The sequence below is a fragment of the Homo sapiens genome, chromosome 3 (assembly GCF_000001405.40).
Source record: "Homo sapiens chromosome 3, GRCh38.p14 Primary Assembly".
Taxonomy (NCBI): Eukaryota; Metazoa; Chordata; class Mammalia; order Primates; family Hominidae; genus Homo; species Homo sapiens.
The window spans coordinates 128381560-128395782 of record NC_000003.12 but is presented as its reverse complement, the minus strand read 5'-3'; the positions used below and the strand labels follow the sequence as shown (position 1 = coordinate 128395782).

The 14223-nt window shown below is 56.9% G+C and overlaps 1 protein-coding gene across 8 annotated transcripts in view, besides 3 other annotated features; it reads right to left on the bottom strand.

Annotated features, from left to right (window-relative positions):
• EEFSEC (eukaryotic elongation factor, selenocysteine-tRNA specific) overlaps window positions 1–14223 on the bottom strand; it is a 272743-nt gene that overhangs the window by 30441 nt on the left and 228079 nt on the right. The gene's annotated exons all lie outside the window — the stretch shown is intronic.
• Window positions 6146–6733: an enhancer, noted in NCBI's record as "H3K4me1 hESC enhancer chr3:128107893-128108480 (GRCh37/hg19 assembly coordinates)". NCBI's record gives its function as "activates a minimal SCP1, AML or CMV promoter by ChIP-STARR-seq in primed H9 embryonic stem cells {active_cell/tissue: H9 hESC(primed)}" and the evidence as "EXISTENCE:reporter gene assay evidence [ECO:0000049][PMID:30033119]".
• Window positions 6734–7323: an enhancer, noted in NCBI's record as "H3K4me1 hESC enhancer chr3:128107303-128107892 (GRCh37/hg19 assembly coordinates)". NCBI's record gives its function as "activates a minimal SCP1, AML or CMV promoter by ChIP-STARR-seq in primed H9 embryonic stem cells {active_cell/tissue: H9 hESC(primed)}" and the evidence as "EXISTENCE:reporter gene assay evidence [ECO:0000049][PMID:30033119]".
• Window positions 10083–10377: a silencer, noted in NCBI's record as "tiled region #10596; K562 Repressive non-DNase unmatched - State 7:EnhWF". NCBI's record gives its function as "represses a minimal TATA promoter and a strong SV40 promoter by Sharpr-MPRA in K562 cells {active_cell/tissue: K562}" and the evidence as "EXISTENCE:reporter gene assay evidence [ECO:0000049][PMID:27701403]".

Here is a 14223-nt window from a genome sequence, read left to right as displayed (position 1 = left end):
CCGTCAGCTCGGGGCTAACTAAGCTACAACTGAGGCTCAGCCCTCTGCTGGGCCCCGTTCCTGGCTGCTGATTGGCCTGGGTGTGCTGGGCTGTGCACTGGACAGACACCGCCTCATTGCACGGCCACGATCCCCTGTGAGGGAGGCCTGGCAGGAGTCCCACTCTGCTGGGAGGAAGCTGGGCCTGACAAAGAACAGGGAAATGCAGAGCTAGTTTTCTCCTCTTTTTGTTCTCTCACAGGCATCTTGAGATAGAGGGAGACTTGGATGCAAACCACCCATGACAGCAGTGAAAAGCCCTGGGAAGAAAGGGAAGGAGCCACAGACAGTCACACCCGGGCATTCAGAGGAGGAGGAGGAAGGAAGCTGGGGTCAGGAAGACTGTGGTGGAAAAGGTGACATTTCCCTGGGCAGGTCTCAGTGAGGCAGCATGGCCTCAATGGAGCAGTGGGTCAGGCAGGAGTGGGCCACTGATGGCTGCCCTGCTGAGGCCCTGGCTGAGGGTCTGGGAGCTGACCCACTCCCCATGGCTCCCGTTCTGCCTTCTGGCCCGGAGGCCTCACACACATGCTGAAACCTCCTGTCTGCTTGTGACGCAGGGATAACAGGCGCCTGACCTCCTGATGCTGTGAGGATGCTGGGGACGTGTCTAATGAGGGGGACAGGCCTGCCCGGGGTCATAGATGCTCTAGGGACATAAGGCCCCATGCTGCCAGCAGCACAGGGAGGACACTCCCCTCGCTCATGGCCGTGGAGACCAACGCTGCATGCAGAAGTCCTGGCACACAGAGTGCTCGGTTAGTGGCCCTTTCCCTCTCTCCTTCCTTTGTGCCCAAACCCAATGGCTGGCCAAGGGGAAGGAAGGGCTTGCTTCAACCAAGGGTGCAGAGGCCGGGCCAGGATGCCCTTCTGACCACACAGCCATATGCTCTCAGGCTGTCCTCTGCTCCCCTGTGGGGCTAGGACTCACCCCAGCCTGCCCCTTCCAATGAAAGAAAAGGCTGTGGCCAGAGGCAAGGATGGGCCCCTCCTGCAGGCGGCCCTCCTCCTCAGACAGCCCCCCAAGGCTGGCCATTGGGGGAGCATGGTTCCTGGTGGCCTCCCGTGGAGCTCCATCCCCACCAAGGGAGCCGAATTTTAATACTCCAAACACTCACTCCCTAAATGTGTATACTCTTTAACAGCAGTTAATCTTCAATTAAAATACCTAGAGCAGAAACTAAGATAACTGGTTTAAAAGGTAGAGCTTATTGACAATAAAAGTCTTCTTCATATTGCTTTTCTTTAAAAAAAAAATCCACATATTAAAAATGTCATTTTTATGACTTGGTGGGGGAAAAAAACCGTCTAGAATAATGAAGGCGAACAAAGGCCCGGGGAGCAGTCATTTTCCAGAGCCCATATGTAGCACCCTGATTACTGTATCAGCCCTGTTCCCAGAGCAGAGCGAGAGGCCGTGGGCAGGCGGCGGTGCTGGCTGTCCTCTTGCTGACAGGGGAAGGGCAGGGGTGGCGTGGCATCTCTGGTCCCCACCCACACTCCTGATTTGAAAGCTGCAGACTCCAACAGTCTATCCCTCCCTGACCTGCAGGGGCTGAGGCCCAGGGTGAGCGTGGGTACAGGGGCTGGGGCCTGGCACCCTGTGTCTGTGCTGATGGCCATGTGCCCACACACTGTCCCTCGGAGGCAGATCCCAGAGGTGGCCTGTGGCTGCAAGGCCCAGGGGAGGCAGGTATGCCCATGGGCTGACCTCCGCACCCCCCGCCCCCGCCACCGCCCCACTGGAATGCCCACACGCTTTCTGATGCTGGCTGCACTCCTGCTGCACACGTGTCACCCACTGGCCGTGTGTCCACCTCAGCTCTCAGGCCTATGTGACCAAATGGGTCCCCAATGCCCAGGACAGGGCCAGGCACAAAGCAGGTGCCCATAAGTGGCCACATCCTGGTCCCTGGCCCTGCACCTACCTCACAGCCCTCAGTACCTCCCACTGTAACTGCCTCTTGGCTCACCAGCCATGGACTCGGGCTCTCTGCAGTAGCCCCCTGGCCCAGTACTGTCCAGCATTGCTGCTGAGGGGCTAGAGGGCCTTGTCTAGTGGCACTGTGCGTCTTTTCTTCCAAAACACAGTCTGTGCCTCTGCCCTGGGCAGGTTGCATCTCTTAGTGGCCACAGGCTCAGATCCTGCATTGTGGCTGGGTGGGGGCTGTTTTACACCTGGGATATGCTGCCCCCCGGTCTTGGAGTGCATAGGCCTCAGCTTGGAGCACCTCTGGCCAGGTGTCCCTCTACCCTCAGAAGCCTGGGCTCCAAGGGCTAGTAAGGATGGGTCTTGGGGACAGAGCCAACACCAGTGAAACAGAGCTGGTGTTCATGTTTCTGCAGCAGCGTGAACGCCAGGACTCCCATCTGGGACACACCAGCGTGTGTACCAAAAGGACAGCTGTCATCATGGCCTCTTTCCCAGGTCTGTCCCTGTAGCAGCCAGGCCAGTACCCTGGAAAGGTGCTCAGCTCTGCAGGTGCCTGGGGGGTGGTGCACTGAACTTCAGCCTCCTTGTCTGTGAAATGGGTCCTGCTGTTATGATGGGGAAGGGGGAAGCCCTCAGAGAGGGCCTGAGATAGGGAGGGCCCCACAGAGGGCTCTGGAAAGAAAGCTTCTTCTTTGTTTTTTAAACAAAGTATGTGGAAGCCTTAAAGGCCAGGTGCCTGGGCGCTGGGAAAAGCTGCCACCTCCTGCTCCTTCCCATGGACACATGGCTGCCACATGTGGGCCTCTGACAGCAAGGCTGGGCTCAGAGGAGGCCCCCTGTCTTCTGAAGACCCTGAAAACCAAGGGAAACCAGGGCCACAGGAGACAGCAAACACTGAAGGAGGTCTGGGGAGGGGGCTGTACCCACCACCCCCTTCCCTGCTCATGGTGCCCCACACCAGCCCGAGGGCACGTGGAGCCAGCAGACAGCGAGCCTAGGGCAGCACCCGAGCAGCCTGTGTGTGCCAGGCCCAGCCTCTGTCATCCCCCCACACTCTCTCAGGTGGGCACAAGTAGGCTCAGGGGTGAGGCGGGAGTGGTTGTGCACAGTGGTCTGGGCAGCATGCTGGGAAGGGAGCTTGGCGTGAGGGGCAGCCTCCTGTCACTTGTTTGGCTCTGTGTGGGGCCAGGGATGCTCTGGGTCAGGGCAGCAGCAATGGCACTGAGTGCCCATGACAGCTAGGCCCTAAGCGAGATGCCGCGTGCCTCGGCCCATGGAAGTAGATCCTGTCCAGAATACAGGTGGATGGCAGGTTCTGTCACGGGTGAGCTGAGGTACCCTGGGTCCCCTCGCCTATTACAAGGGGACAATGACCCTGCCTCCCTGGGCAGGCCCCGTCTGTGCAAGACTGCATGCCTGGTGGGCAGGGCCCACATGTGGAACCCTGCTCCCCGGTGAGGAACAACCAGCTGACATGGCATGAATGACTTGCGTCAGTTCCCACAGCCAGGACATAGGGGGCCTGGCTTTGAACCTAGGCGGCTGGCTCCAGAACCTGCATCTGCAATGTCTGCTGCCCTCACGGGGGGCTGGTGCGGGTCTCTTCTGCCTAACTCCCACTCTGGGTCCCGCATGCCCTGGCTCAGAGACAACAGAGGCTAGCACTGGGCATGAGGGCTGCCAGCAGGCTGTTAAGAGCTGCAGATCCCTACCCCAGAACACATAGCTCTGCCCTCAGCTGGCCACCTCACTCTTGCAAACTGGGTGAAGAGGAGCAAAGGATCACCATGCTCTCCGCAAAGACAGGACCCAGGGAAGCCACGGCTGGGGCACACTCAGGCACTCGCCCTTCTGGAAGCGCTTGCAGACTCCCTCCAATGGCCCCCACAGGGCATCCATGGTGCTGGGCGCCTCCCTCTGGCACAGCACAAGCAGAAGCTCACTCCTGCATTCGTTGCTTGTCTTTCTGCCCATGATTGCCCTCAGAGCACCCGCTGGGCACCAGGCACTGTCCCAGACTCTGAGGACTGCCTGAGTGGGCCAGGTGGGGCCGCTATGCTGGTGGAGTCCACAGTCCAGGGGGTGCAAGACCCACATATATGTGTAGAGAAATGTGCAAAGGAATGAGAGAGCACCTGATAGGAACGGGTGCCAGGAACCAAACTTTAAAAATGTGCTGAGAGAGAAGAGCCCATCGGTGAGGGTCAGGGAACTGGGAGCATTGGCTTGCTTCAAAGCGCTTGCTCTATCACTCACTCCTGCCATGCCTGGACTCCACCACACCCTGAGCAGGCCTGGAGGGCACCACCACGACAGTCGTGGCCATGTCCTCCCTGCCTTCCCCAGATGGGCTTCCCCACTTGGTCACCAGCCAGGGCCCAGAACCTCGAGGTTGGAAACACCTTTGGTGGTCAACTGGGAGGCCACCCCAACCCAGGTGTGGGGCTCTTCTGCCTCTGGGGAGACAGATGGGAGGCTGCTGTCCTGAAGAGCTCTCCATAGCTTGGGGCGGGAGACCATTTCGTTTCTTGCCTTTTGGAATTAATGAGCACAGCACCAGCCACTGCTTTAGAGGGCAAGGAACTGTGGTTTGGAGAATGCCATGGCTGACCCAGGCCAGGGAGTCTGTGCATTCATTTAATCAAGAATGCTAGCGAGCACCTACTCTATGCAGGCATGCACCGGGGGCGGGGCTGCAGAGGTGAGGGAATCACGCAGGCCCAGTGTGGGCGTTCTGGTGGGAGACAGGCGATGCCAACACATCCATGTGTCGTATGACAGGTGGTGCCAGCTGCTCGGGAGAGGGGAGTGTCAAGAGGGTGTTTTGCTCCTTTAGATAGTGATCAGCAAAGGGCCCAGGGTGGGATGACATCTGAACAGGGACTTGTGAGGGATGAGGACACTGGGAGGGAAGAACACCCAGCCTGAGGGCGCCAAGCAAAGGCCCCAAGGGCCAGCACTGGGGCCAGCGTGTGGGGAGAGCAGGAGATGGAGCCGGGGTGATCATGGGGTATGAGGGTGTGTTTGTGTGGGTGCCCGAGTGGTGCAGAAAGTGGGGTCTCCTGCTAGATCTGCAGAGGGGCTGGGTCTGGCTCCTGAGGGCAGGGGCCCTCTGGCTGCCTTGGGCCCTGGGCACAGACCACAGCATGGAGCAGGGAGAAGAGGTAGATTGTGGCCGCTGTGTCCTGTGTCGCTTCCAGCCCAGGCCTGCAGGGCCCACTCCAGCATGACTGTCTGTAGAGAACAGCAAGCAAGGGCCTCTCTCTTTCAGACACAGAAGCCCAAAGCAACTAACATTCTGGGTTAGGTTTTTTCATTTGGCGAAGGTGATTCACATCTGTCTCACCCCCTTCTGTGGTGGTCAAAGCTCTAACCCCCTCTACCTCCCAAAATACAGTGGCAAAGAGGCGAAAAGGTCCCTTCCCCACATGCACCCCTCCTGAGCCTGGCTGTGCTTGTTCCTGGGCCCATGCCCATCTCACAGCCAGCTCTCCCCAGCAAATGCCACCTCCTCTATATAGTACACATTAACAGAGCGGACAGGTGAGAGGATGAATGAGGAGAAGTGACTGCACAGATCACTCCACTGAGTGACCCCAAGTCCCACTTTTGTGTTAATCATGACTTTGAGTTGTCACAACAATGTAAATTATATCCAGGAGAAACAGTCCCAACTATGGGACTGTTCATGAGGCAAAGCACTTTCACAAGATGCAGATAAATGTGATGATACGAGAAAAATTTAGGGCCAGCGCCTTCTATTTTAAAATAGTTGTGTGGTGGTAGCATACCCATGACACTGGGCCTCCCTGCCTCCAGGACCCAAATCCAAATCCACAGCATCTTACGGGCGCTGCCAACTCAGCCACCCCTGCAACCGGACTCCCAGCTTCTGCTACCAACATGGAAAGAAGGTGGGACTGGATCCACGTGGGCTAGGCTTGACCGGCTAGGTGCTCTCTCAAGCTAGTTAGTTCACATCTGGGGCCTGCCCTGCCCATTCTGCTGGAGCAGCCTCAGTCCACACCACATCACTCTGCTGGCAGATGAGGCTCTCGGCGTTAAGCCAAGGCCTCCCTTTCCCAAGGTCAAGCATGCCATGCTCCCTGTTGGGGTGGGTCCATGAAACAACCACGTCCAGTGAAAACCAAAAACCCTCCCGATCTTCCTGTAACTGGACTTGTTTATAAACCAGGCTTCCTGCAGCAAGGCGGCCAGCCTCACCCAGCAGCGTGGGCTCAAGGATGGTCAGGGGTTGTTCCCAAGTGCCCAAGGTGGGCCTCTTCCAGGGGGATAGCCAGAAACCTGGGCTCTAGGCCTGGGTTTACCACCAACCACTTGTGACTTAGGAGGCCATGTGGGCCCTCTGGGTGGAGTCCTCATATGGCAACCAAGGCTGAACAGAAAATCTGTCTGGGATGGCTGAGACGGTGCCAGGCAGGACCACTCTGTGTGGGGAAATGTGGACATCGGATGACCTCCTGTGTCCTGTTATGCCCGCCCATCCCCAACCAAAATGCCTGCCAGAGTGGTGGGCGGCCTGGCTTGTCTTCCTCCTCTGCAGGGCTGTGATGTCCTCGGGTGAGTGTCAGCACCCTTGCTGCTCCAGATGTCTGCGCTCCCTCCTTAGCTGGGTTAAGATGCCTCGCTGCAGCACCTCTGCCTGCCTGCCTCCCTCCAGCCTCCATCCCCATGGCTCCGGCCACAGGACACCGCAGGCTGCCTCGGCCCAGGGCACACCGGCTCCCTTGCCTGGAACTCCTGCCCTACAGACTGCCCTTCAGGTGGTGGCCCCAGCTGACTACCTCTTGTGGCTCCTGGGTCCCAGCACCACATGAGGCACAGGGACAGTCCAGGCAGTTCCTCAGGCTCCTGACCCAGAAATCAAGAGTGGGTGTCAGGTGGACTGAAGAGGCCCTGAAGAACCAACAGCAGACCTGCAGCTTGGGGACCCTCTACCTCTAGTCAGGAAGGCAAGACAGACAGCCCTCCTCCATTTCACGTCTTCTGGACTGAGTTTCAAAAAACACCCCTGCAAGGGCTCAGGGGCTAGAGGCAGCAGTTGGCCTCTCTGCTAGACGCTCTGGCCGGCACCACTGAAAGCACACAGTCGACCAGGAGAAGGCCTCGAAGAGGCAAAGGGATGAGGGGTACAGGCAGACTACACCAGGGAATGGGCCTTACACAGCAGTGGCCTCACTCAGCAAACTCAGGAGGCTCGGGCCAGGCCAGTCCCTCACTGGAGAGCAGTGGGTGCTGCAGTGGAGACACAGCCCACCTGGGCAGACATGTCACAGGCAGCCGGGGGCTCAGACCCCACCTAAACGGCAGTTACAGAGCGTGGACCCTGGCCAAGCCCGCTGCTGGTGGCTGCGGACTCATGGCAGGCAGATTGTTCCCTGTTCCCCACCCTGGAGGAGCTCGAAGGCAGAGATGGACTGTAGATAAATTGAGGGGTCCGAGAAGGGGTGTCAGGAAGCACTGGAGGGGGACTTGGCATGCAGGCAGCTAGAGGAGGTAGTGCTGGAGGCGAGTTAGTGGAGGCGGGGGCAAGAGGCTGCCAACAGGGCTGGACCCCTTCTGTGGCTGTCCCCAAGGAAGGCGACCAAATTGGATATTAAAAAAAGGAAGACTCTAAGAGCGGGAGCAATGGAAAGAGGAACAGAGCTCAGAGAAAGGACTTTTTTTCTCAAGTCGTGGTTCTGCCACTGCCAGTTCAGAGTGAGGACCTGGTGGGTGTAGGCTCTGGACAGGGCAACCCCAGGGGCTGGCTGGGCCACTAGGCCTCCTTCTCCTGGCACCCTAATGGCTGCACCTTACTTGAGCTTCCAGGTCTCTGCTCGTGGCACCCTCATGCCTAAATAGCCATCCAGTGCCTGCCCGTGCCCATCTAGAAAAGGCTGGCTGAGACCTACTTCCTCCAGGAAGTGCTCCATGCTGCCTGGGGCAGGCACATCAGGTGGGGGCTGCCAGGGCTCCAAACATGCAAGCGGGGCTCCATACACTCGCAGGGTTTGAGTGGGCCTCCATATGCGCGCAGGACTCCATAGGTGCACATTCCTTTCCCCAGCCCCAGTGGAGCCTGTAGGGAGGGGTCTTGGTGGTGCCACAGGGGCCAGCCCAGCCTGGCCCTGCCATCCAATGCTAAGCACACGTGACAAAGATCCTTCTTCGTGCCAGTCCATAGCCTCCTCTCCCATTCTGGGCTGAGCTGAGGAGAGGCCAGCAGCCGACTTAATTCAGGCTGGTATCTGTTCTCCCTGGGGTAGATTTCTCGCACCCTCAGAAGGCCCACCCGAGCCCCACTTCACGCATCAAAACTCTTCGACGCCCCCCAGACTTCCCAGATCTTTCTTGGCATCACGACTTTTGCGAGCCTGGACTCATGCACCTTTGTGTCTTGCCACACAGCACCTTCATTTCTGAACTTTGAAGAAGGTGTATACTTATCTTTCCTAAATAGTCAGAACTATTGAGAACTGCCAGGACATGTGGATATTTTTATGAAAGCAAAACTCAAGCATATGCTGGGCAGATGGGTCTGACCAGAAGGGACAGAACACTGCCTCTGTCCTCAGGAGCCACCTCCTGAGCCAAAGCCCCCCAGTCCATGGCTCCCATACCCCTGTGACCCCTGCAGCCCCTGCGGCCAGGTGCAGTACCAGTGGAGGAGCACAGGGCCGAGGAGGGTGGCTGGTGTTGCCAGCCCTGAGGGAGCTGCCCACGCGCCACCAGGCAAGTTGTCCATCCTCCTCACCTGGGCCCTGTGGTAATTCACAGAGCCAGGCCTATGAGGGGTGAGCACCTGGCAGCCCTGCCTGGGAGGAGGCTGCAGAGGCCAGCATATGATGTGGTTTGGATGTCTGTCCCCTCAAAATATCATGTTGAAATGTGACCCCCAGTGTTGGAGGTGGGCCTCGGGGGAGGTGTTAGATCATGGGCACGGATCCCTCATGAGTGGCTTGGTGCCCTCACCACAGTGATGAGTGAGTTCTCGCTCTGTGAGTCCATGTGAGAGCCGGTTGTTTAAAGGAGCCTGGCACCTCCTCCTCACTCTCTTGCTCCTTCTCTTGTCATGTGATGCACCTGCTCCCCCTTTGCCTTCCACAATGATTGTAAGCTTCCTGAGGTCTCACCAGAAGCAGATACGGGTGCCATACTTCCTGTACAGCCTTTTTAAAATTTTATTTTAAATAAATTATCCAGTCTCAGGTGTTCCTTTATAGCAATGCAGACTCACACAGCAGCCATGGGGCCTGGCTGTGCCACCATGAAGGCCTGGCCTCACTACCCTCAGCTGTGGTGTCACCTGTCACTGCATCCCCCCCCCACTGCCTGTCTCAGCTGATACCATATCCCACAGGGCTGGGGGCCCTGGGGAACTGGAGGGGATGTGCTCAGCATGGACAGAACACCCTGCTTTTCAAGAGAAACTGGAAATCTGGATTTTTTACATGAAAATTCCTGATTTTTGAGAACGTTTTCAGGGCATAGGTAGCCTGCAGCCTGCTAGGGTATGGCCCCAACTTGTAGGTCATTCTTTCTCTCCCTGGGGTAGATTTCATGCACCCTTGGAAGGCCCACCTGAACCCTACTTCACCCATCAAAACTCTCAAATCTCCCCCAGGACTTCCCAAATCTTTCTCAGCATCACTAGTTCTGCCATACCCATTGCCACCACTTCGACTATTTACTAAAGATTTCTTTAGTCAACTCATCTAACTCAATTAGAGAACATTCTATGCTGCCATAAGTGGAAATCCAGTCTCCCTTGACATAAATAGAGTACCTGTTAAAATCAACATGTAACTGTGAACATTCTTTGGGGGCTTATTTGTGGACTACCTAGAGTCATCCTGCACACGCCCAGGGTGGATGTGAGCAGCCCACTTGGGGAACTGCTGCTCATGTTCCACCGTGGGATGTTCCCTCCCTTAGAACCAGGCCTCCTTGGACTGTTCTGGGCTGACCTGCCTATCAGTGTCGTGCCCCAGGCCTCAGCCTCCTGCCTCTTGTTCCTCTGCCCAGATTCAGGCTAGGGAGCTGAGGGCTGCGGGCAGAGGGCCAGCCTCATGAGCCAGATCGTGAGTCCGGGTGAGGCCCTTGCACTCTCCAAGCTTAGCCAGTGAGTGGTGGAATGGAACTCATAAGTCAATGAGGTAACTCATATAAAACAGTCAGCACGTGCTGGGCATGTAGTAAATGTTAGTGTCCACTGTTGTTCTCATCGGGACTGGTGCATGGCAAGCTCACTGAGCTGTGTGTGGGAGGACACCCTGCAAGCCACAGCCGCACTCACAATCTGCTGCCTGTGGGTCAAAGTTGACCCTTAGGTATGTTTGCTTTGGCCTCTTCATGTGCTTTAAAAATTGTGGACTAGTTGTCAACATTTTAAAATGTGGGCCTGCATTCCCAGGGCAGCAGGTGGCTTGAGGTGAGCACAGGCTGCCCCTTCAGACAGGATGTATGGTCCCTGTACACCACACTCCCCGCTCCCCACTGCAGTCCCCCAGTCGGGCTACTCTCCTGCGCTGCCTGCCTGGCCCCTGTGGCCAGCTCTGAAACCTACAGGGTTGGGTCTTATCGTGGGTCTGAGCTATAGCAGCTGCTGGGACTGCTCTGGAGAGCCTGGAGGTGTCCAGACTGCATGCTACACCTTGGGGTGGCCTGGGGACTTTCTCTGGAGGAGGAGGGAGCTGGGCTAGGACAAGGTGCCTGGCAGCTATGCCTCTGCCACTCCTTGTCCTGGGCCAGGAAGCCTGACATCTATGGGGTTTGGTAAAATCATAATGGTAGGATGGTCTGCCTGTATTGGTCTTCCCCACATTCAAACAAAACCCAGTATGGACTTCCAGGGAGATAGCAGGGGGCAACTGGGGGGTCTGGGACCTGTCCCACCACTGCTGCTTTTGTGCGGGCAACCTGGGGACAGCCCTGCACCACTTTGGCCCTCAGTAATTTCCTCTGTGGAAGGGGGATAGATAATACCACCTCTCTTGGCAGACAGTGAGGAGGAGTCAGTGAGGAAACCCCTGTGCACTAGCCCAGCAAATGCTTGGGAAACAGCGGCTGAATGAAGTTAAAGCTCTGTTCCTCTGATGTGGTCCCTCAACGAGTTCTTGACCTTGGACGTGTTCCCTCTCCAGCCTCAGTTGCATTCCCTAGGGGCTCAGGGGTACAGCCACCTCAGGCCTTGTACCCTCCACTCCATCCCCAGCAACTGGCGTGCTTGTGCATGCGTGCATGTGGGAATGCTGGGAGAGACGGGTGCCCGCCTACAGGGCTTTGGTAAGGCCCCCACAAGCTGGCAATGCCACCTGTGTATGCTGGGTCCTGAGCACTTCACCCCCACACTCACTCTGCTCTGGTCTGCTCATCTCCATCCTGGGACACCCCATTCTGGCAGCTGGACCCCACAAATCACCTCTGAACCAGTCCACTCACAACATGGCCCATGAGGTCTTCTGGAGGCTCCATCAGGCTGCTGCAGGGGAAACCCCGACCTCTTCCAGCATTTAGGTATCTGGTTCCCTTGTGTAGTCCTCCACAGCCCAGCCACTCTGGGCAGCAGTGGTACCTTCTCTCCTGGGCAGAGCCACGGACGCTTCTGCCTGGAACACCTCTCCCCAGGCTGTCTCTCCACCCTCCTCCAAGATGGAACTCAGTACTGCCTCCTCTAAGAAGGCCTCCTTAGCTAGGCTCTGTGCCTGGGCTTCCTGGGGCTCACCACTTTCACAAAGATCAAAAAGAACTATATTAGCTTGGGAGTAGAATCTAGCCTCCATGGCATTTTTGAAATATTTGAACTACTAACTCACCTTTTAAATCAGGACATTTGACATACAGTTCTGAACTTCTAGTTTGTCTTGAAAAGCTAGAAGACTTCTCTTTGGATTCCTACCCTGCCACAGTGGGCTGGCGTGGGCCTGTGCTGGGCCCTGGGCACACCAGCTACTCTCTGTCACCGCTCATGTGCTGCTGCTTTTACCTGAGACTGGCTCCCCTCATTTCTGTCACCTGCCTGCCCCTTGAAGGCATCTGTATCTGAGTCTGAGCCCCTCCTGTCCCAGCCCTATGGCCCCAGCACCTCTGACTCAGGGCCTGGCACGAGGCCAGGAAGGGGGTGGTGCCTGCCAAGTGCTGGCTGATGCCTTCCAGGCCAGGGCACAGCCACCTTGCTCTCCTCCTCCAGGAAACCCAGTGTAACACACAGCCAGGAGCTCAGGCTCTATACCCAGACCACCAAGATCCCGACCCTAGTCCAGGCGCAGATCAGCTGCGTGCCTTCACAAAAGACATGTGACCTCTCTGCGCCTTAGTCTCCTCATCTGAAACATGGGAACAGGTTTGGTGTAAGGCCCAAGTGAGTTCATATAACAGAAAGTGCTTAGAACAGCGGCTGGCACAAAGCAAGGTCTAAAGAATGTTTACTATTTTTATTCCTTACCCAAATCACCCCACCCCATTCACTGAGCATACCTTCCCCATATTCACGGAGCACTTATTGTGCCCTGGGCCCTGTTCCAGGGGTGGGGGTCCAGCATGGTGTGAGTTATTTCTGTAACGGGGACAGGCTTGTAACCAATAGATGAATACAGGAGAAAGTTTCCGATAGTGCTAGATGCTAGGAAGGCAGTACAGCAAAGAGACAGCGGGATGGTGCTGGGTTTGGGGGTGTTCTTTTGGAAAGGGTATTCAGAGGGGCCCGAGGAGGCAGTGTGGGAAGTGGGGCCTCAGAGGCAATGAGATCTGAGGAACTGGGGGCAGGGATCCACTCAGGTCTTCCAGGAGGCAGGGAGGGGCTGGGGGAATGGGGGCGCCTCCAGCCAAGGCAGCCTGCCATCTCAGGGAGGCAGCAGGTGACTGCCCAGCACAGACTCCTCTGCCCGCTCCCTTGTGTGGACAAATGAGCTGGGTTGAATTTCCCGCCAGGGTCAGGGGAGTTGGGGAACCTGGAGGGAGAAGAGTAGGGGTTGCTTTTTCTTCTCTCTCTCCCTCTTTTTTTTTCGGGCTCATCCTAGTATGGCTCTGAGACTACGGAGGGAAAAAGGGCAAGAGTTGAGAGTGGCAGGAATTTATGAGCTCAGAGTTCAGGCTGCCTTTGGCAGGGGTAGGGGAAGAGGGCTCCTTTTGCCAAAACAATATTTAATTTCTTTAAGGCAGCCACAAAGCCATGATTAAGCTTGGGGTCCTAAAACAAGCCCATAAAATCGAAAAATATTTATCTGGAAGGGTGGCAAGTCCAATAAAAGTTTTATGAATGTTTTACAACTGCCCTGTCAGGAAGCTGGCCTCTCACTCACCTCCCCCCTGTCAAAAACACACCACACACACAAAAGCGTGAGCACGCACACACATACATGGACACACATAGACGTAGGCGCACCTGCATGGAGCCGAGCCCACACAGCTCCTGCTGGTGCCGTGTCCGCTGGGCGCACACAGCCTGCTCTGAGACGAGGGCATAGGGTTGCCTCTCCCTGCACGCTCCCTGCTCTGCTGAATCCTGGCACAGCGTGTCTGCCCTGGGCTTGGTTGGCATCCAATTTCCCATGACACTTGCCTCAAGGCCCAGGAGTCTGAAGGAAGCATTTCTGATTTGAGGCCTTGGGTTTCTCTCCACAAGCAGCCCAGAGGGGCTTACAGAGAGGTCATGATGGGCAGTGCTTTCTTCTTCCTGACAACCCCAGGAGCTGGGCGTCATAGCCCCCATTCTAGAGAGCAGGAGACTCAGAGAGGAGAGGGCCTTGCCTGGGGCCACCTGGGAAGTGGCTTCACAGAACCACATTCGGGCCTATCTCTAGTGTCTCCTCCCGTCCCGAGGTAGTGGATGGCGTCCTCACGTGGCCCAGCGTACTTGTGCTCCACTGTTCTTCCCCCTGCTCCCTGCTGCCCCAGCCACAGGCCCTTCTGCTCTTTCCTTTTCCACCTCAGGGAAAGGAACATCTTTGTGCAGATCCCTCCCAGAATGCCCTTCCTGCTACCCTGTAGACTCTGAACCCCGGGCCAGGTCTCCTGGGTGCTGCTTCCTTAGAAGTGCCCTGCATTTCCTGCAGGCCCCACGAAGATGCCCCTTCCGTGTCAGACCTGCCCTCTTCCTCCACGGCACGCAGCTGCACAGAAGCTTATGCTCCTGGGCCTGACCAACTACCCCTTCTGTGGAAGCTCCAGGAAGCAGGCCCAAAGCTGTCTCTCTTGCCACTGAGTCCTAGCCTGAGCTGAGGGTTGGCACGCAGAGGTGATTGACGCAT